This window comes from Homo sapiens, chromosome 1, assembly GCF_000001405.40.
Source record: "Homo sapiens chromosome 1, GRCh38.p14 Primary Assembly".
Taxonomy (NCBI): Eukaryota; Metazoa; Chordata; class Mammalia; order Primates; family Hominidae; genus Homo; species Homo sapiens.
This window is the reverse complement of record NC_000001.11, coordinates 227,557,322-227,579,047: the sequence shown is the minus strand read 5'-3', so window position 1 is coordinate 227,579,047 and position 21,726 is coordinate 227,557,322. Positions and strand designations below refer to the sequence as shown.

Here is a 21,726-nt window from a genome sequence, read left to right as displayed (position 1 = left end):
CACAAAGTCCAAGATTTGGGAACTGAGTGCTGGCCCCCTAAAATCTGCCAGAAACAAAACCAGTTGGCTGAATCCACATTTTACCACAATCAAATTCTCAAGGCAATCAAATACAATAAAAGAAGAAGAAGAAAGCGCATCCAAAGGCCAGCTACCTCAAAGATTGAAGGTAGATAAACTAACAAAGATGAGAAACAATCAGTGCAAGAACCCTGAATGCCCAAAAAGCTAGAGTGCTTTCTTTCCTCCAAACGGCTGTGTCACCTCTCCAAGAAGGGTTCTGAACCAAGCTGAGATCACTGAAATGACAGAAATAGGATTCAGAATATGGATAGAAATGAAGATCATCTGAGCTATGGGCATACATTGAAACCTAATGCAAGAAAGCTAAAAATCATGACAAAACAATGCAAGAGCTGTCAGACAAAATAGCCAGTATAGAAAAGAACATAACTGTGACAGAACTAAAAAACCCATTCCAAGAATTTTGTAATGCAATGACAAGTATTAATAGCAGAATACACCAAATGGAGAAAAGAATCTCAGTGCTTGAAGACTGACTTTCTAAAATAAGACAATCAGACAAGAATAGTGTAAAAAAAAGAGTTAAAAGGAACAAATAAAACATCCAAGATATATCATGTTATGTAAAGAGAATGAATCTAAGACTCACTGGTGTCCCTGAAGGAAATGGGGAGAATGAAAGCAAGTTGGAAAACGTATTTCAGGATGTCATCCACGAGAACTTTCCCAACATAGCTAGAGAGGCCAACATTCAAATTCAAAAAATGCAGAACGCACCAGTAAGACACATCAAAACAAGATCATCTTTAAGACATATAATCATCAGATTCTCTGAGGTTGAAATAAAAGGAAAAATGTTAAAGACAGCTGGAGAGAAAGGTCAGGTAACCTACAAAGGGAAGCCCATCAGACTAAAAGTGGACCTCTCAACGGAAACCTTAAAAGCCGGAAGAGACTGGGGACCAATATTCGACATTCTTAAGGAAAAGAAATTCCATCCCAGAATTTCATATTCGGCCAAATTAAGATTCATAAGCAAAAAAGAAATAAGATCCTTTTAAGACAAGCAAATGCTGAGGGAATTGATTACCACCAGATCTGCCTTACAAAAACTCCTGAAAAAAGCACTTAATATGGAGAGAAAAGACTGTTACCAGCCACTACAAAAACACACTGAAGTACACAGACCAGTGACACTATAAAGCAACCACATGAACAAGTCTGCAAAATAAACAGCTACCATCATGATGGCAGGATCAAAACCATACATTTTAATACTAACCTTAAATGGAAATGGACTAAATGCCCCAATAAAAAGACACAGAATGTCAAGATAGATAAAGAACCAAGACCCACTGGTATGCTGTCTTCAAGAGACCCATCTCACACACAATGATACATTTAGGCTAAAAATAAAGGGATGGAGGAAAATCTACCAAGCAAATAAAACACAGAAAAAAGCAAGGTTTGCAATCCTAGTTCCTGACAAAACAGATTTTAAACCAACAAAGATCAAAAAAGACAAAGAAGGGCATTACATAATAGTAAAAGATTCAATTCAATAAGAATATCTAACTATCCTAAATACACATGCACCCAGCACAGAAGCACACAGATTCATAAAGCAAGTTCTTAGAGACCTTCAAAGAAATTTAGACTCCCACACAGTAATAGTAGGGGGCTTTAATACCCCACTGACAGTATTAGATCATTGAGACAGAAAATAAACAAAGATATTCAGGACTTGAACTCAGCACTGGATCACATGGACCTGATAGATATCCACAGAACTGTACACCCAAAACCAACAAAATACATATTCTTCTCATAGCCACATGGCACATACTGTAAAATCAATCACATAATCAGAAGAAAGACATTCCTTAGGAAATGCAAAACAACTGAAATCATAACAATCTCTCAGACCACAACACAATCAAACTAAAAATCAAGACTAAGAAATTCACTCAAAACCATTCAAAACCATATAATTACATGGAAATTTAATAATCTGCTTCTGAATGACTTTTGGGCAAATAATAAAATTAAGGTGGAAGTCAGGAAGTTCTTTGAAACTAATGAGAATAAAGATACAACATACCAGAATCTCTAAGACACAGCTAAGGCAGTGCTAAGATGGAAAATTATAACACTAAATGCCAACATCAAAAAGTTAGAAAGATCTCAAATTAACAACCTAACATCACAACTAAAATGACTAGAGAACCAAGTACAAATCCCAAAGCTAGCAGAAGGCAAGACATAACCAAAATCAGAGCTGAACTGAAGAAATCTGAGACATGAAAAACAATTCAAAAGATCAGCAAATCCTGGAGGCATTTTCTTTTTAATTAATAAAATAGACCATGAGCTAGCCTAATAAAGTAAAAAAGAGAGAAGATTCAAATAAATATAATAGAAAACGACAAGGGGGATATTACCACTGATGCCACAGAAATACAACCAATCATTAGAAAATATTATGTATGCCTCTATGCACATAAACTAGAAAATCTAGAGGAAATGGATACATTCCTGGACACACACACCCTCCCCAGACTGAACTAGGAATAAATTCAAACCCTGAACAGACAAATAGTGAGCTCTGAAATTGAGTAATATCTTCCCAACCAAAAAGCAGCACAGGACAAGACAAATTAACAGCTGAATTCTACCAGATGTACAAAGAACAGCTGGTTCCATTCCTGCTGAAACTCTTCCAAAAGCTTGAGGAGAAGGGACTGCTCCCTAACACATTCTCTGAAGCCAGCATCATCCTGATACCAAAACCTGGCAGAGGCAGAACAAAAGAAGAAAACTTCAGGCTGATACTTTTGATGAACATCAATGCAAAAACCTCAGCCTCAACAAAATACTGGCAAACTGAATCCAGCAGCACATCAAAAAGCTTATCCACCATGATCAAGTAGGCTTTATCCCCGGGATGCAAGTTTAGTTCAACATATGGAAATCAACAAATGTGATCTATCACATAAACAGAACTATAGACAAAAATAACATGATTATCTCAATAGATGCAGAAAAGGCCTTCAATAAAATTCAACAATGCTTCATGATTAAAACTCTCAATAAACTAGATATTGAAGGAACATACCTCAAAATAATAAGAGCCATATACAAGAAACCCACAGCCAATATCATACTGAATGGGCAAAAGCTTGAAGCATTCCCCTTGAAAACTGGCACAAGACAAGGATGCCTTCTCTCACCACTCCTATTCAACATAGTAATGGAAGTCCTGGCCAGGGCAATCAGGCAAGAGAAAAAAATAATGGGCATGCAAATAGGAAGACAGGAAGTCAAACTATACCTGTTTGCAGATGACATGATCTTATACTTAACAAATCTCACGGTCTCGCCCCAAAATCTCCCTATGCTGACAAACAACTTCAGTAAAGTCTCAGGATACAAAATCAACGTGTGAATATAACTAACATTGCCATATACCAACAACAGCCAAGCCGAGAGCCAAATAAAGAACACAATCCCACTCACAACTGCCACAAAAAAGAGTAACATCCCTAGAAATACAGCTAACTAGGAAGGTGAAAGATCTCTACAAGGAGAACTATAAAATGCTGCTCAAAAAATTAGACAACACAAACAAACGGAAAAACATTCCATGCTTAAGATAGAAAAAAAATCAGTATTGTAAAAATGGCCATACTGCCCAAAAACAATTTATAGATTCAATGCTATTTCTATTAAACTACCAATGAGATGCTTCACAGAACTAGAGAAAACTATTTTAAAATTCATATAGACCAAAAAAATAGCCTGAATAGCCAAGGCAATCCCTTGCAAAAAGAACAAAGCTGGAGGCATCATGCTACCCAACTTCAAACTATACTACAGGGCTACAATAACCAAAACAGCATGGTATTGGAACAAACACATATACCAATGGAATAGAACAGAAAACCTAGAAATAAGGCTGCACACCTACAACTATACAACTATTTGATCTTCGACAAACCTGATAAAAATAAGCAATGGGTGCCACTGCACTCCAGTCTGGGCAACAGAGTGAGACTATATCACAACAACAACAACAACAAAAAACCCCATAAGCAATGGGGAAAAGATTCCCTATTTAATAAATGTTACTGGGATAACTGGCTAGCCGTTTGCAGAAGATTGAAATTGGACCCCTTCCTTACATCATGCACAAAAATTAACTTAAGATGGATAGAACACTTACATGTAAAACCCAAAACTATAAAAACCCCAGAAGACAACCTAGGCAGTATCATTCAGGACATAAAAATGGGCCAAGAATTCATGACAAAGGCGCCAAAAGCAATTTCAACAAAAGCAAAATTGGCAAATGGGATTTGATTAAACTAAAGAGCTTCTACCCAGAAAAGAAAAATATCAACAGAGGAACAGACAACCTACAGAATGGGAGAAAACTGTTGCAAACTACGCACCTGGCAAAGGTCTAATATCCAGCATCTATAAGGAACTTAAAAAAAACCAAAACACAACTCCATTAAAAAGTGGGCAAAGGAAATGAACAGACGCTTTTCAAAAGAAAACATCCATGCAACCAAAAATCATATTTCAAAATGCTCAACATAACTGATCATTAGAGAAATGCAAATGAAAACCACAATGACATACCATCTCACACCAGTCAGAATGGCTATTATCAAAAAGTCAAAAAGTAACAAATGCTGGCACGGTTGCAGAGAAAAAGATCCTTATACACTGTTGGTGGGAGTGTAAATTAGTTCAGCTATTGTGGAAGACAGTGTGGTGCTTCCTCAAAGAACTAAAAACAGAAATACCATTTGACCCAGCTATCTCATTACTGGGTATTACCTGAAGGAATATAAATCATTCTATTATAAAGACAAATGCATGTATATGTTCACTGCAGCACTATTCACAATTGCAAAGACATGGAGTCAACCTAAATGCCCATCAATAATAGCCTGAATAAAGAAAGTGTGGTACATATACACCATGAAATCCTAGGCAGCCATAAAAAAGAATGAGATCATGCCCTTTGCAGGAACCTGATTGGAGGTGAAGGCCATTATCCTTAGCAAAATAACACAGGAACAGAAAAACAAATACTGCATATTCTCACTTGTAAGTGGAAGCTAAATGATGAGAACACATGGACACATGGAAAGGAACAAAAGACACTGGGACTTATCTGATGGTAGAAGTGGGAGGAGGGAGAGAATCAGAAAAAATAACTAATGAATACTAGGCTTAATACCTGGATGATGAAATAATCTGTACAACAAGCTCCCATGACACAAGCTTACCTATGTAACAAACCTGCACATGTACCCCTGAACTTAAAAGTTACAAATAAAAAATAAAAATAAAAAGCAGTACTGAGTGCTAACATTTGTATTAAGAATATGGTTTACTGGGAAAAAATAGACATTTACTAAAACTGTGGACCATTTGTGTGAGTCAAAAACCCTTATATATGTTAGGTATAATGTAAAGAGCAATGCTAAAATAGCTGCATTTTAAGAGAAACTGTTTAATTTTTTAAATTCATATTTTTATTAACAAGCACACATTATGCATGACCTGAAATCATATCATGAATAAATTAGTGTATGCATTATGAGCTCAATCTGTCAATGGGCTTTTATTCGTAAGTGCTGCCGCACTCTTCCCAATATAATAATAGTGCTACTTTCATTATTTGAGGAGAGCACTATGTTTGTACATGGAATTAAAAACAGACAATGACACACTTGTGGGGTCCTACAAAAAAAATTATTAAAAGGTGGCATTTTCAGCCCTGAGAATTACGTTAATGCACCACCCCCACGCTGTATCTCCTTCAATGAACTTCTCTCTACTGACAATAAATAACCATGTGTGTGAGTTGGACTGTTTCCACTCCCTGATTGCCTTCTTGTCACCGCACCTGGGTAGTTCAGAATCACAAGAAACCCCATGCCACGTGGCAGAATGCACACTGTTCCCACCTCACCACACTCTACTCTCTCCATCCAGCGCTAGCTGTAGCCAGGCTGTCTCGCAGTCCAGAATGCTAGCCGGAGATCAAGCTTTCTGAAGTGCCTTGGCTGGGGCCCACAGATAAGGACCGCCAGGCAGTGCTCTAGAAGCCAGCAGATGCCATCAATCAGTTTCCCACCTGCCAGACACTGAGAATCTCTAACACCGGAAATGTCCTCTGTTGCCAGAGCTGAACTCTCACATGAAGACTCCAGAAGGCCTTGCCATGTGGGCATGCAGCAATCATTGCCTCTCTGTGGCCACAAGGAACCAGGCTCTTTCCATGGCTAGTGAGTTGTCCAGCACACTTGGGGCTCCGGAAAGGCCCCTTTACAACTTTAGGCCTTAGCTGAGCTCTCTATTTACATAAGGCCAGGCAGTGCACATTATGGGAGACACCCCTGGGTACCGGGATGATGATGGCACTTGGCATGTGAGCTAGGATTGGGTGCCCATCGCTCTTCCCCACCAGGCAGTGGCCAGCTAGTTTCTGTCCCCTTACCGACCTCCTTTGCTACAATTGCATTTCTGGCAGGCAGTGTATCAAGGAAGCATCCGCAGTTTTGGACCATGCAGAGAACCACTACTGGCCAAGCATTCCCAATCTGACAGCAGAACAGTACAGCACTGCTGAGGTGAACTTGGCAAAGAACTTTGAGACCATGAAGGCAGCCAACACTTCCAAGTCATCACAACCTGCTTCTCCCATAGATTTATTGTAGACCATCTCAACCATCTCCATGTCAACAAGAAATGGTCCTCACTCTAAGCCATCACCTTTGGATTTAGATCATGGGGCTGTCCTTTCTTTAGAATGGAACTGAAAAGCTTTAATTTCTATAAAAACGTAAGGTTTTGGACCACAGCCTTATTAAAACAAACAAATATGAGCATAGTTGTCTACATATGGAGTATCTGGGATAAACTGCCACTTGAAAGTATAATCACTGTCTGTTTGTTTGTTTTTGAGACGGAGTCTCGCTCTGTTGCCCACGCTGGAGTGCAGTGGTGCGATCTTGGCTCACTGCAAGCTCTGCCTCCCAGGTTCACGCCATTCTCCTGCCTCAGCCTCCTGAGTAGCTGGGACTACAGGCACCCGCCACCACATCCAGCTAATTTTTTGTATTTTTAGTAGAGACGGGGTTTCACCATGTTAGCCAGGATGGTCTCGATCTCCTGACCTTGTGATCCACCTGCCTCGGCCTCTCAAAGTGCTGGGATTACAGGCATGAGCCACCGCGCCCGGCTTTTTGTTTCTTTAGCCTGATAGGACAATATCAGAAATTTCCTTGGTCACAGAGGATATAAAACATAGTTTGAACAAAAGCAGCAATAAAGCTACAAACTATTATTCGGTGTATTTGCTTAAGTATAAGACAGCTGACTGGGGCTTTATCATGTAACATTAGTTTGCTTAGTTTTCATTAACTCTGTTGAACTTAAATTGAATTGTGAATACACATATGGCTAATTCATATTGCAATTAAACTGCAAATTGACATAAACTGTACATAAAAAGCTGCACATTGTCATCCAAAATAATGCTTAGGTAAAACCAAGAATACAATAAACCGATGTCAAGGAACCTACCCTAAAATAAAAATACAGTCAACATGGAACTGTAAAACTAGAATGAGAGAAACATTTACCCATAAAATCTTGTTTGGAACATGGATACAACACTAGAAAAGAATTTTTCTAAATAACTACCATGTTCATATGTGACTGTGCATCTATGAAGACCAGGCATTCTGAATCATTGCCCTGTGGTGTATGGCAGTACAATTTTACAGAAAATGTGCTACAATAATTAATAAAATTCTCTAATGTCAAAATTTTAATGAATAAGTATTTACACTACAAATAACTATTTATATTACTAATACATTGATACTATTATTTTACAAAATAAATAACCTGTAATACAGCCTTTAAAAGCAAATAATAGCCTCACATTTCTAAATTTAAAAAATACAAATTTTGTGAAATATGGTTAAGAGTAACTGATAAAATAAAAATTTGGGCATAAACTATATTATAGTTTGGACAGAGGTTGAAAAAAGTGGATGAAAATCTTAATGAGCCCTTTTGTCTGCACTAAACTTAATCTTACAGGTGAATATTATAATATATATAGAGTACCTACTAGCTATCTAATTTACTTTTTACACAATGTATAAATTCTACCATGTTGTTCTTAATGTTTGAACCTAAAATAACACACAAACATACAGGAGAACAAAATAAGGCAGAAATGTATGGAGACAGTGACATTATCAAGATGATGGAATAGGAGTTCCCTACTTTTATATTCCCTTGCAGTAAAAAAAAAAAAACTAGTCAGCCATCCATTAACCAAAGTAACTTTATGAGAGAGCCAGGCACAGTGGCTCATGACAGTAATCCCCTCCATTCAGAAGACTGAGGCAGGAGGGCTGCTTCAGGCCAGGAGTTCAAGAACAGCCTGGACAGTATAGTGAGCTTTGGGATACAGGGCATTAGGAAACTGTGCTAAAACCCAAGATCAAGAAGAGTCACTTTGAGAAGACAGGCCCTTTGATTAATGAAGTGTCATATTATCCAAAGCAATCTGTAAGTTAACTCAAATCCCTATCACAACTCCTGTGCCACTTTTCATAGTAACAGAAAAGGCAAGCCTACAATGTACATAGAACTACAAGAAATACTGAATGGCTAAACCAATCATGAGGAATAAGAAAAAAGCTGAGGGCATCATACTAGTGACCCACACAAAACAGTTCAAAAGTCACTGTTTGTAGATAACCTGGGGAAACCTTGCTAGGTACTCAGTGGGAGCCACACTCATCCACGCATCTGGTATTAGGCCCACCATATAGCAGAACCCTGCCCTAGTGCCTGCTCCACAGAAAGCCCTGAAGACAATCCAGTCTGCCCAAAAACATGATAGGACTCACAACCACATGTGCTCCTGGTAATAAGCCCACTAAAGGTAAAACCCACTCCAGATTTGGCAGCAACTTTGTGACCCAGCTACAACCCTTTTTACTGCAAGCCCAGAAAAGATCTCATCAGGCTTGAGACCCAAAAGATGAAGATCTTTACCTACTGAAACCAGTTCATAAAAATGAAAAGAGGTGTTTGCTCCTCCAAATGCACAAACACCAATGCAAGTCTATATTATGACCATTCTAATGGTTCTATTTGAACATAGAACTGGAAGTCCTACGTAGGATAATTAAGCAAGAAAACGTAGAAGATCAAAATTGAAAAGAAGAAAAAAAGTCACTGTTTGTAGATGGCATAATCTTATATATGTAAAATCATAAATAGTCCACCAAGAAATAGCTTAAACTAATAAATGCATTCAGTAAAGTAGCAGAATATACAATTAACATACAAATATCAGTTTTGTTTATACAGAGTAGCAATAAACCAGTAAAAAAAACTAATTTACAATAGCAACAAAATAATAGATTTCTTAGCAATAAATTCAACCAATGTGGTGAAAGATCTATTCTTTGGGCTCAACTTTTGCGTGCTCTTAATCAACTTTAAAAATTTTAAAAACAATAAATTTCTGCCAAATCAAAAAACAAACAAAAAACAATGCAACAGAATCCAGGTCTTAGATAAAGACAACCATGAGTTAAAAAGAATGATTCAAATTTATTTAGCTGGTAAAAAAAATTTGCATATATTTCAAGAAGCAGAAGAAAAAATACATATTAAGTTGTCCCGATCAGGCATGGGGGTTCACACCTATAATCTTAGCACCTTGGCAGGCTGAGGTAGAAAGCAACCTTGAGGCCAGGAGTTCAAGACCAGTCTGGACAACATACTGAGACCCTGTCTCTACAAAAACTTTACAAATTAGCCAGGCATGGTAGTATATGCCTGTAGTCCTAGTTATTCCAGAGGGTGAGGCAGGAAGTCCTTGAGCCCAAGATTTCCAGGTTGCAGTTAGCTATGATTGCACTCCAGCAACACCTCTAAGTCCTCAGTCCCCTCTCATCTTGGGAGGACACCTGGAATCACAGGACAGTGCAGTGTGACAGCCTGTGTACAGAACAGAGCCTCCCTTCGCTAAGAAAGGGCATCTGCCTCCAGCTGCCGCTCCTGCACTTTTGACAAAACTTCTGACACCAGATGTGTGGAGTTTCCTGATCACCAACCAGTTCTCCAACACCACTGGTTGCTCAATAATTCAATACTGACACCACTCAGTTTGCACAGACCTTGCAAGGCCAGGCCTCAGTCCCACATCACTGCCCACACTTCAAAGGCCAGTCACATGCACCAGGGACCCACCTATACTTCTTGAGTGACTGCCTGTAACTCTGGGACTCCCATAACCGCATACTCAAGTTCAATAATTTGACAGAACTCCTCACAGAACTCAGCAAAACATGTACCAGTTTGTCATGAAAGTACATCTCAAAACAGCCAAATGAAAGATCTGTATACAGCAAAGGAAAGTGGCAGGAGAAGATTGGGTGCGTAGGCAATCCTGGTAAATGCATGTGATTGAAGAAATTCCCCATCCTTTATGTTCTCAAAGAACAGCTGAATGAAAAGAAACACTCTTCTCATTTTGACTTAGATGATGCTCCCTTTTTTTTTAACCTATTACAAAGCCAGACACGGATTGCAAATTCCCATTTTTGTCTCATAAACAATCACCTGAACAATTCTCTTTAGTGGTAAAAAAAAAAAGTACTTGTTCACCAACCACCACTTAACCCATTTATGCTGGAGGTGGCAAATTTTTTTGTGTGTGAAAAATCAGACCATGGTGATGACCCTGAGCAGTAGGGTCATCTAGCAGTAGGAAGTATAAATAACTCCCACAAGCTTAGTGCTCCAATAATGGAACACTAGGCATAAATGGGTTAGCTTCTCTCTTTCCAACAGGCCCCTGAACTTTGACACACACTCAGCCTGAGCCAACAAATAATTCCTCTTTATGCCCCTCCTAAACACAGGCTGACCTCAGGGTGAAACATTCTCTGATCTAGGATCTAATTTTGGCACCTTTCATCCTGTCCTCCCCTTCCCACATTCTTTCTAGTTTTGTGTGTTCCTCTTTAAATAAAGCCCTTTTCTGCCTAACATTTCAGATGACTGCAGATATAGTTGGTATTTTTCCCGTTGCAATATTCCTTTAGAATTAAGTAACTTTTCATGTATACATATGTAACTAACCTGCACATTGTGCACATGTACCCTAAAACTTAAAGTATAATAATAATTTTAAAAAAATCACCCAAACTACAATGGAAAATAAAGAAAAATTCTGGAGGAAAAAAAATAAAAAAATAAAAATAAAAAATCAAAAAAAAAAGAATTAAGTAACTTTTTATGTAAATATAAATTAGCTTTATTTGACAAAGTCTAGAAACAGCCCAGGACAATGAAATTTATCCTCAGAAAGAGCTTCTGAACCCGTCTTCCAACCCAACTACATTTGCATCTGCCTATGGATCTCCCACTTTCCAGGAGATCCGTAGCTTCTCTCAATGTAAAGGGCTCTTCCGTGCTTGTGTGAGCAGGCTGGGACACCTGCAGAGGAGGCTCCTCAGGAAGAACCGGGCCTTCAATGACCTTCTTTTGCAGGCTCAAGATTGGCCTTAACTTAGAGTCACTGGGCTCAGACTTCTACTTTCCAGTCAGGGCTATTCATTTAGTTTTAAATGAGAAAATGCCCAGTTTGAAGAATTCAGCAAAATCACTCAAAGACAGTGTTTATAAAAGGGAATAAAATTGTAAGACACTTACATTTTATATTTCAAAAGGAAAGGCAAAAGTGTCTATTCCTTTCAGATAACAAAAACGTCAATTAAATATTTCTATAACAGATCATTTAGGAAACACTTACTAAATGTGAACCCTTCTAAGAGGAGCCATGTCCCATCTCCTAAAACTTAGCATTGAATTTGGATGTCCAGATAATTAAATACAGAACATTTAATGTCACAAATTATCCACCCTGTAAAAAAGAGGAACTGATGTTTCATGAATCTATATAATTTACCAATTAATCTACCATACTGTCTTGTGAAAGTGAGTTTCCTATAGGCATAATGAAAAAGAGACGTTTCCTATTTTTCTCCCCGATAGAATTCCCAAACTTAAGCCCTGAGATTCTGTTTGAAATCACCCTTAAAATAGAACAGAACTAAGAAACTTACTACACTCACTCTGATGAAGAAAAAGGTAAATGAGTTTTTTAACAAATGAAGTATATGACTACATATTTTTTTCCTAGAATTCACCACGTTCATACCCTTTGTAAATATTTTCTAACCTTTCAAGCTCTACTGATAAAGTGTAATATATACTTAATAAAAAACTGATGATGAAATAAGTGAACAAATCTTTTTAAGGTGACAAACTCAGGGAGAAGCAGTACTACCTGGAACACAGACACATCCGACTCAAGCGTCAAGTCAGGCTATCCTATAATTTGGGACATTCTCCCACCCCTCATTCTGCTCACTGAAGTGCTCACTGACCATTCTGTCTGGAGACACTGCACTGTGCCTCACGGTGTGCCCCAGGGATGTTTTGCTTTGCATGTTCTCGCACCAGCTCACTGGAGTAGTTATTGCTTGTCCTTTGGACTAGTTTTTCTCCCTTCACAAGTCTGAGAATCCAGAGGGCAGGAATTATTTCTGTCTTTTCCCAACACCACTGATGTGTCTCCAGGCAATGAAATTGGGGGTTGGGGGAGAATGTCTAAGGGGTTAGCTTTTTAGGTGAAGGGTGTACCAGAAGACTTCTCTCAGCCCCAGGACATCCAGCTGCTTCACTGAGAGGCTCCATCTCCATGCCATAGGCTGTCCTCTGGGAGGAAAAAACCCAGGAACCAAAATTCACTAGATACTCCAAGAGACATAGCCACTGTGGGCATCTTGGGCCATTCCCAGACAATTCTGAAATTCAGGACTAGGATAAGAGTGGCTGAGGAGCCGGGCGCGGTGGCTCACGCCTGTAATCCCAGCACTTTGGGAGGCTGAGGTGGGCGGATCACGAGGTCAGGAGATCAAGACCATCCTGGCCAACACGGTGAAACCCCGTCTCTACTAAAAATACAAAAAAATTAGCTAGCCGGGCATGGTGGCGGGCTCCTGCAGTCCCAGCTACTCGGGAGGCTGAGGCAGAATGGCGTGAACACGGGAGGCGGAGCTTGCAGTGAGCCAAGATCAGGCCACTGCGCTCCAGCCTGGGCGACAGAGCGAGACTCCGTCTCAAAAAATAAATAAAAATAAAAAAGAGTGGCTGAGGATACAACCAGCTGTAAAGTTTCCAAAGTTTTCAAAGATTTTGTACAAGGCGTCTGTGCCTAGGAAAGATAAAAAGCAGAGTGGCACAAATATTTCTTTACAATAGAGTGCCAAGAGGTTATTCTCTGCCTTCACAAACAGATAACAAATCTTTAAAGAGTTCCACAAACATGGGTAACTAGCGAAACCCAATCTCTACAAAAAAATAAAATAAAAAGAATTAGCTGGGCATGGCAGCACACACATTTAAGCCTAGCCACTCAGGAGGCTGAGGCAGAAAAATCACTTGAGTCCAGGAGTTGGAGGCTTCAGTGAGCTATGACAATGTCACTGCATTCCAGCAGCCTGGATGACAGAGCAAGATCCTCTTAAAAACAACAAGTCAGGCGTGGTGGCTCGCCCCTGTAATCCCAACGCTTTGGGAGGGAGAGGCGGGTAGATCACGAGGTCAAGAGATCAAGACAATCCTGGCCAACATGGTGAAACCCCGTCTCTACTATAAATACAAAAATTAGCCAGGTGTAGTGGCGCACGCCTGTAGTCCCAGCTACTTGGGATGCTGAGGCAGGAGAATCGCTTGAACCCAGGAGGCGGAGGCTGCAGTGAGCCGAGATCACGCCACTGCACTCCAGCCTGGCAACAGAGCGAGACTCCAACTCAACCAAAAAAAAAAAAAAAAAAAAAAAAAAGCCGGGTAGGGAAAAAACAACAGGCCAGGCGTGGTGGCTCACGCCTGTAATCCCAGCACTTTGGGAGGCCAAGGCGGGGGATCACGAGGTCAGGAGTTGGAGACCAGCCTGACCAACATGGTGAAACTAAAATACAAAATACTAAAAATACAAAAATTAGCCGGGGGTGGTGGCGCGGGTCTGTAATCCCAGCTACTCAGGAGGCTGAGGCAGGAGAATCGCTTGAACCCGGGAGGCAGAGGTTGCAGTGAGCCAAGATCGCGCCACTGCACTACAGCCTGGGCTACAGAGCGAGACTCCTTCTTAAAGAAAAAACAAAAACAAACAAAACAACAACAGCAACAACAAAGAGTGCCCTCCAATGTTCTGTGAAAAAATGATTAATTAAAATATTGTGCCTGGAGTACGCAATAAAAGACAAATAGCTGACAGTGTTGTGAACTGAAGAGGTGATGGTGGTTTTTATGAATTTTGGAAAGAAACTGAAAATTTAGTATTTTATTGCAGGCCAGAGTCAGGCTGGGAGAACAGAGGAGTGGATTTAAGACCCTGCTTTCCATGTTATTTGGAAAATGCAGGGGAAAAGCAGTCTCTTGTGCAGTGTTAAAATAATTAGCAGGCAATTAGACTGAGGTGGCTCTAGTGTCTTGCGTTTCTACATGAAAAAGAATATTAATAGCTCAAATGCATTTCTTGTTAATGACTGCCTTAAGTAGAAACAAAATCCAAGTTCAACCAATCACAAAACTCCAATTAATCAGTAATTAAATAACCAGGAAATTTCCACCTGGACAGTCCAAATAAGGTGACTGTAACTGTCGTCAATTATTAAATTTGGCTTGCTTCCTCATGCACCTTACAAAAAAGTTTTTCCTTCAAGCACCTCCTCCATAAACCCACAAGCCACACACCATAGCTGGGCGCTCTCCCATTCATGAAACTCCCTTTCCTCAAACTCTTCAAAGCTTTAAAAGTGACTCCATTTTTCACAGGAAAAAGGATGGACTGCACAGCTAAGATAAGCCCCATGGAACAGCTCTTCCCACGCATGTTTCGCACACCGATTTGGCTTCTCCCCGATGACCCTCCCCTCTGGACAAAGCACACAGTCTGGGGGACCCGCGGGGCTGCGGCTTCATAGCCGCCCAGAGAGGCCGGGGCGGAAGCCGCGGCGCAGTGATGGGAGGAGAATCCCGCGGCGGCCTGGCCCCGCCCCTACCCAGAGGTGACAGATCCCACAGGTGCCAGCCGGGACTCCGGGCCGCGGACTCTAGTGCTGACGCCGGGAGGCCGGACCGCCATCTTGGAACACCCTCCCGGGAACTCTCACCGTTTTCCGGCTTTCGGGGTGTCCTGGCATCTTAGCTATGTAACTCCCAGTACCTGCAGGTCACAGGGAAACCAGACACTGCAGCAGCAGAGTCACCAGGGCCTCCCGCAGCTGGGGATAAATAGCCGAGAATACGGGACCAAAGCTCCAGCTGGAGCACAAGACAAAGGCCCCGCCAGATCCCGGAAACCCCCTCCGCCTCTCAAGCTGCGCTCCTGATTGGACAGTTCCCACGTCAATGTCCCTGATTGGACAGGGCTCCAGGACCCGCCTCCTTTGGTTATGAGTGACAGGAGATGAGGTCAGCAAAGGGGTTGAATGAGACTATTAACAAAATGGGCAATTTTTTTTGTATCCTTCCAAAATTGTTCCATGTCTTTCCATGCATACCATCTTTAATAAAGGGCGCACTCTTAAGCCAATCTGCAATCTCTGTTCCTGAGTGTCTAAACAACGTCATCATCATCTTCTGTTGGAGAAAAACCTGAAGATGAGTTTTCCTCCCAAAGCACAGAACAGTCAGAAGCCGAGGCGTGCTTGGGAATGCTGGCGGGTGGAAAGGGGAGGCGCATTCCGGTGCGCCTGTGGAACTGTCCTTGCAAGCAGGACCCAGGTCCAGAACAGCTATGCAATGCATGTGTTTCTGACCAAAGGGGGCCTGCTGTCCACCCGCCTCTTCTGCTGGGCAGGGCAGCGCATGGTTGGGGTATTTACACCCAGGCAGGTGTCCCAGGCCAGTCCCCTGTCAACCCATCATAATAAAAAAGTCAGAATCTATTTTCAAAAGTATATTCAAAAGCATATGTTTAGGATACCTACCTGAGAGCATAGACTAAAGTTGCCCTGATTATACATTCCAACTAGTAACCATTACAAGTGGGTTTTAAGAAAAGAGGCAGTTCCTAAAATTTTCATCAAAAATTTACATTAAAATCCAGAAGTCACTGACTGGCTATACATTGTTCTTTGTATCACAAATTCCAGATGAGACAGCTAGTTAGGAACAACATACCTTTAAACAATTGCCCCTGGGAAAGGGTGTGGAGATGTGTCTCAAATCCCATACTCAAGTCTCTCTGGGCCAGAAAAATCTTCCGTACCTCACAGAGCTTCAGCTACTTAGAGCTATTCTTTTCTTATCTCCATAGTCAGTACACTTGGACCCTTAACAAGAAATAAGTTCAAACAGAAAATTTGCCAAGCCACAGGAATAATGGCCTGTCAGTGCCCTTCAGGAAGCTGATTGTCACTTTCCTTCAACACCCTTTCCACAGCTTCCCCCCAACACACACACCCTGGATCCCGGGAGAGAGGGGCTGAGACGCACCCAGACACACCTCGCTGCCCCTCCTGCAAACATACACCCACACACAGACACACAGACAAAGACACAGACACAGGCAGCTTGAAGGAGAGCAAGAGAGAGGGATGGAGACATAGAAACGGAGGGAGAGAAAGACAGTGATAGAGAGGCAGAGTGAGTCAGGATTGAGAGAGAGAGAGAGAGAGAGAAGGCTACAGAAAGAGCACGAGGTGGAGGGGGAAGAAGAAGAGAGAGGATGAGGGACTTACAGAGCCATAGAGCCTTGGAGAGGGAGTGTTCTGCTCCGGTAGACAGGGCCCCTTTGAGCAGGACAGGGTAGGGTGGAGGGTGCTTGGGCTGGGCCAGAACAGGGTGGAAGGGCTAACGGAGTGACCCAACAGAGCCCTGAGACGTATTTTTTGTTGGATTGGTTGCTTTGGTGGTGCGTTTCATAGGACTTTTCCTTTGTTGGCTCCTCCCTGTCCTCTTGGTGCGGTGGGCCCCGAGATTTGTAGAGTGCAACCGTCCCTCTAGCGAGAGCTGTGGCACCGAGCATGCCCACGGGGCAGAGGCCTGGGTCTGTCTCGTGTCCTCCGGAATGGAGTTTATACGAAGTTGGTGGCAATGGGATTCCGAGTGCACAGGGACGGTTTTCCTGGTGGCTGGAGAAGGCAATGTCCTTCCCCTGGGGAAAGTAGCCCATGCGTTCTGGAGCGGAGGTCTTGGCTGGTGTCTTGTGGGGCCCGCTTCCCCTGCCCGCCCCTTCCCCCGGCTTGGACAGTGCCAGCGGCGCTGGATGAGTGAATTAAATTCCCTGGGCGTCCCGGGAGAGGGAAGACACCCTGGACGGCAGGGAACCCGCCCCTGAGCCTTCGAGGTTGGCCCCGGCCCGGCCCTCCCCGCCCCGCCCCGGGCAGCGAGCTGGGCTACTGATGGGGTGGCTGCCAGGCGGAAGAGCTGGGAAGCTGCTAACTGGCGGTGCTGCAGTGGCGGACGCCCCACGAGGAGGTCCCAGGGTACCGCGAGGGCGCAGGCGGGCGGAAAAGGAGGAGCAGAGTCAGGGTGCGGTTGGGAGGCATCGCGATAAAAGGAGGAAAGTGGGAGGGACCGGGAAACCAAAAAGCCTACAGCACCCGTTATTCCCAGGCGGTCTCCCAGTTAAGTACTAACCAGGCCTGACCCTACTTAGCCTCGAGAGATCAGACGAGATTGGACGCGTTCAGGGTGGTATGGCCATAGACGCCTGGCAGCCCTAAGAGCTCCGCTCAGTCTTGCGCGCCCGACTCCAGGCATCCCGGCAACCCCGGGTCCACGGGGCTCGGATCAAGTACCCCTGAGCTGCTCGCCGGCGGCCGGGCTGGTCTGCTCTCCCCCTCTACCGGCCGCTCTCCCCCTCTACGCCCGAGCACCGTCCACCGCGCGCTGCGCCTTCCGCTGGCCTCCCAGAGCCTCCCGCAGTAGCTGGTGGCCAGGCCAAGCGTGGGACAGCCACAGCGCCGCCCTGCTGCCGGGCGTGGGCGCCAGAGGCCTCTGTCTCCTGCACAGGCTTCGGGCTCTCGAGGTGGCCTCCCTTCCGCCGAAGCTCCAGGCCTTTCCCCAGCTCCCGAGCTCCCGAGCTTCCACTACATCGGGCCCGCTCAGGACCGGGTGTGCTCCGAGACGTCAGGGCCCAGGGCCCACGGTCCTGGTATCCCCGCCGGTCTTCTGTCTTAGCAGTGAGGGATTGTTTTGGATCCCTCTGCAAGGTCCCCTCTTGCCCCACCCACCCAGAGCCTCTAGGGCTGGCCAAGGGCGATCAGCCGACCCAGTCCTGCGGGCCCTCTTTCTCAAAACGCCTTCAACCCTGTCCCCTGTCCCGACGAGGACCCAGCCCGTGGGCAACAAGGGGGCCGGGTGGGTTCTGCTTTGCCCCGCGCTGGCACCAAAGCCGGCAGCCTGATCCTGGGAGAGAGGGGCTGAGGCACACCCAGACACAACTCACGACCACCATGAGCAAAACCACCCATTCACACAGGGGCGCAAGCTTGCGGCCACACACACACACACACACACACACAGCTTGAAGGAGAGCAAGAGCAAGAGGGATGGAGAGATAGAAACGGAGGGAGAGAGAGACAGCGATAGAGAAACATAGTGAGGGAAGAGAGAAAGACAGAGAGAGAGAAGGCGACAGAAAGAGCGCAAGGTGGAGGGGGAAAAAGAGAAAGAGAGAGGGTGAGGGAACTAGAGAGCGAAAGCGATAGAGCCCTGGAGAGAGAGCGCTCTCCAAGCCATAGAGAGAGAGACAGGGTGAGGGAGGAGAGAGAGAAAGAGAGAGAGAGAGAGAAAAGGCGACAAAAAAAGCGCGAGGTGGAGGGGAAGAAGAGAAAGAGAGGGTGAGAGACCTAGAGAGCGAGAGCAATAGAGCTTTGGAGAGGGAGCGCTCTGCTCTGGTAGATAGGGCCCCTTTGAGCAGGCCTGGGTAGGTGGAGGGTGCTTGGGCTGGGCCAGAACAGGCTTTGGGCTCTCCAGGCAGCCTCCCTTCCGCTGAAGCTCCAGGCCTTCCCCCGGCTCCCGAGCTCCCGAAACCACATCGGGCCCGCTCAGGACGGGGTGTGCTCCGAGGCGTCAGGGCCCAGGGCCCACGGTCCTGGGTCCTGGGATCCCCTCTGGTCGTCCGCCTTAGCGCTGAGGGATTGTTTTGGATCCCTCGCTGCCCCTCCTGCAAGGCCCCCTCTTGCCCCACCCAATCAGAGCCGCCAGGGCTGCCCAAGGGCGATAAGCCGACCCAGCCCCGCGGGCCCTCTTTCTCACAAAGCCTTCACCACCGTTGCCTTTCCCGAGGAGGACCCTGCCTGTGGGCAACAAGGGGTCCGGCGGAGGGGCACTGTTTGCCCCGCGCTGGCACCAAAGCCGGCAGTCTGATCCCGTGAGACAGGGGGTGAGGCCCACCCAGGCACAACTAATGACCACCACGAGCTAAACCACCGCACCCCCCCCCCCCACAAAGGGTGCACGCGCGTGGGCAAACACACACACAGACACACAGACAAAGACACATACAGAGACAGCTTGAAGGAGAGCAAAGAATGAGAGATGGAGAGATAGAAACGGCGGAAGAGAGAGACAGCAGTAGAGAGAGAGGCAGGGTGAGGGTGAAGACAGAAGGGTGAGAGAGAGAGAGAGAGAGAAAAGGTGACAGAAAGAGCGCGAGGTAAAGGGGGAAGAAGAGAAAGAGAGAGGGTGAGGAACCTAGAAAGCGAGAGCCATAGAGCCTTGGAGAGGAAGCGTTCTGCTCCAGTACACAGGGCCCCTTTGAGCAGGCTGGGGTAGGGTGGAGGGTGCTTGAGCTGAGCCAGAACAGGGCGGCAGGGCCGCCCACGAGGGTGGGCCAATGGAGCCCTGAAACGTGTTTTTTCTTGGATTGGTTGGTTGCGTTGGAGGTGTGTTTCGTAGGGTTTTCCCTTAATTTGCTCCTTCCTGTCCACTTGTTGCGGTGGGCCCCGAGATTTGTAGACTGCCCCAGTCTGTCTGGCGAGAGCCCTGACGCCGAGAGTGCCCATGGGGCCTGAGGCCTGGGTCTCTCTTGTGTCCTTGGGACTGGAGTTTACATGAAGTTGTTGGCAATGGGATTCCGGGTGTACAGTTACGGTTTTCCTGGTGACTGGCGAAGGCAATGTCCTTCCCCCCGGGAAAGCAGCCCGCTGCCCCTGCCCGCCCCTTCCCCCAGCTTGGACGGTGGAGGCAGCGCCGGATGAGTGAATTGAATTACCTGGAGGTTCCGGGAGCGGAAACCTCTCAGGACTGCAGGGAACCCGCCCCTGCGTCTTTGAGGTCAGGCCCTGGCCCGCCGCTCCCCGCACAGCAAGCCAGGCTCCTGGTGCTGTGGCGGCGGCGAGGTGGAAGAGGTGGGATGCCGCTACCTGGTGGTGCTACAATCGTGGACCCCCACGAGGAGGTCCCGGGCTGCAGCGGGGGCGCAGGCGTGCAGAAAATGGGGAGCAGAGTCAGGGGGCGGTTGGGAAGCAGGGCGATGAAAGGGGTAAACAGGGAGGGAGCAGGAAGCCAAAAAGCCTTCAGCACCCGGTATTTCTGTTGTGGGAAACTGAGGACGAGAGAGACCTACATGGGAAAACAGGAGGATGTTTATATTAAGGTACACACTGATTCAGTGGATTCCCATTCAAAAAAATGAGCTTTGAACAAAAACAAGAGTTTGGTTTATAAAGGCTAGCATACAAGAGCAAAACAAAGGCAGTAAATCATATATTGACAGGTCACGTAATCTATAGCATAACTGATGACTTCATATAACTTGCGGCTTTGTAGCTGCTTCGAAAGAAAAAACAAGAACTGTCTAAATACAGACATTTGTCTTTTTTTTTTTTTTCCTTCACGCTTGCTCCAGAGGAGGGGTGTCTGGAGCCTATTCCGTTGGTTTTGACTTCAGGGACAGCATTACCTTATAACTGTCTTTGAAGTGAGCTTGCTAGGCAGAAGAAAACTTGTTCTTTTTTTTTTTTTTTTAAGCTTTGCCTTGTCACATTCTGGGCCTTGGCTTTTACTTCTCAGACTAGGTCACCACAACCTTCTTATAGCCTTGTCTGTTACTTTTCTTGGAGTGAATGAATGCCGTACTTATTGTCATTATTTTCAAATTTCTGCCTCAGTTTTCCCATTTGATGCTTTTATAAACAAGATTTTAATAGAAAGCATCACTATTACTTGATTCTTTTTGAAAGAACAGTTTTTCTTTTTTAGGCACAGGCTGATATTTACACAGAGCCATTAGCTGAGTGGTGGTCTGCCTAGCTACAATTGCCTCTATAGTTGATTTAATGCTCTTAACAAGGAGGGGTAAAAGGCAAGGAAGTATCAAGCAACCTCCTAGTATGGCTGGAACTACTCCTATTAAGGTTTTGAGTCTACCAAAAGAGGTGAACCAGCCTCCAACGATGGAATCAGGAGTCCACCCTTTCCAGGTCTGGACTGGAACATGGGCTAATTTTCTCATTCTTGCAGTTATTTGGATAATAGCTTTTCTATTGTCATCGATTTCTAGGCAGCAGTTAGTTAGATTAAACTTTGCACATACTCCTCCTTCCTGGGCTAGGAGATAAT

The 21,726-nt window shown here is 44.6% G+C and overlaps 1 protein-coding gene and 2 pseudogenes across 5 annotated transcripts in view, besides 3 other annotated features; 1 reads left to right on the top strand and 2 right to left on the bottom strand.

Annotated features, from left to right (window-relative positions):
* ZNF678 (zinc finger protein 678) overlaps nt 1–15,492 on the bottom strand; it is a 116,114-nt gene extending 100,622 nt beyond the window's left edge. For all 5 annotated transcript variants that reach the window (NR_102302.2, NM_001367910.1, NM_178549.4 and 2 more), the window contains exon 1: nt 15,324–15,492. Coding sequence is in view for 2 of the 5 variants with exons in the window: in NM_178549.4 (NP_848644.2) it covers nt 15,324–15,353 (30 nt within the window). In the remaining 3 variants the exon portion in view is untranslated. The remainder of the gene's footprint in view (nt 1–15,323) is intronic.
* On the top strand, nt 6,601–6,808 carry MRPL57P2 (mitochondrial ribosomal protein L57 pseudogene 2; annotated as a pseudogene).
* Nucleotides 15,257–15,536: an enhancer, noted in NCBI's record as "active region_2679". NCBI's record gives its function as "activates an Ori minimal core promoter by ATAC-STARR-seq in GM12878 lymphoblastoid cells {active_cell/tissue: GM12878}" and the evidence as "EXISTENCE:reporter gene assay evidence [ECO:0000049][PMID:35858748]".
* On the bottom strand, nt 17,748–17,867 carry RNA5SP77 (RNA, 5S ribosomal pseudogene 77; annotated as a pseudogene).
* Nucleotides 19,792–19,851: an enhancer, noted in NCBI's record as "active region_2678". NCBI's record gives its function as "activates an Ori minimal core promoter by ATAC-STARR-seq in GM12878 lymphoblastoid cells {active_cell/tissue: GM12878}" and the evidence as "EXISTENCE:reporter gene assay evidence [ECO:0000049][PMID:35858748]".
* Nucleotides 19,882–20,191: an enhancer, noted in NCBI's record as "active region_2677". NCBI's record gives its function as "activates an Ori minimal core promoter by ATAC-STARR-seq in GM12878 lymphoblastoid cells {active_cell/tissue: GM12878}" and the evidence as "EXISTENCE:reporter gene assay evidence [ECO:0000049][PMID:35858748]".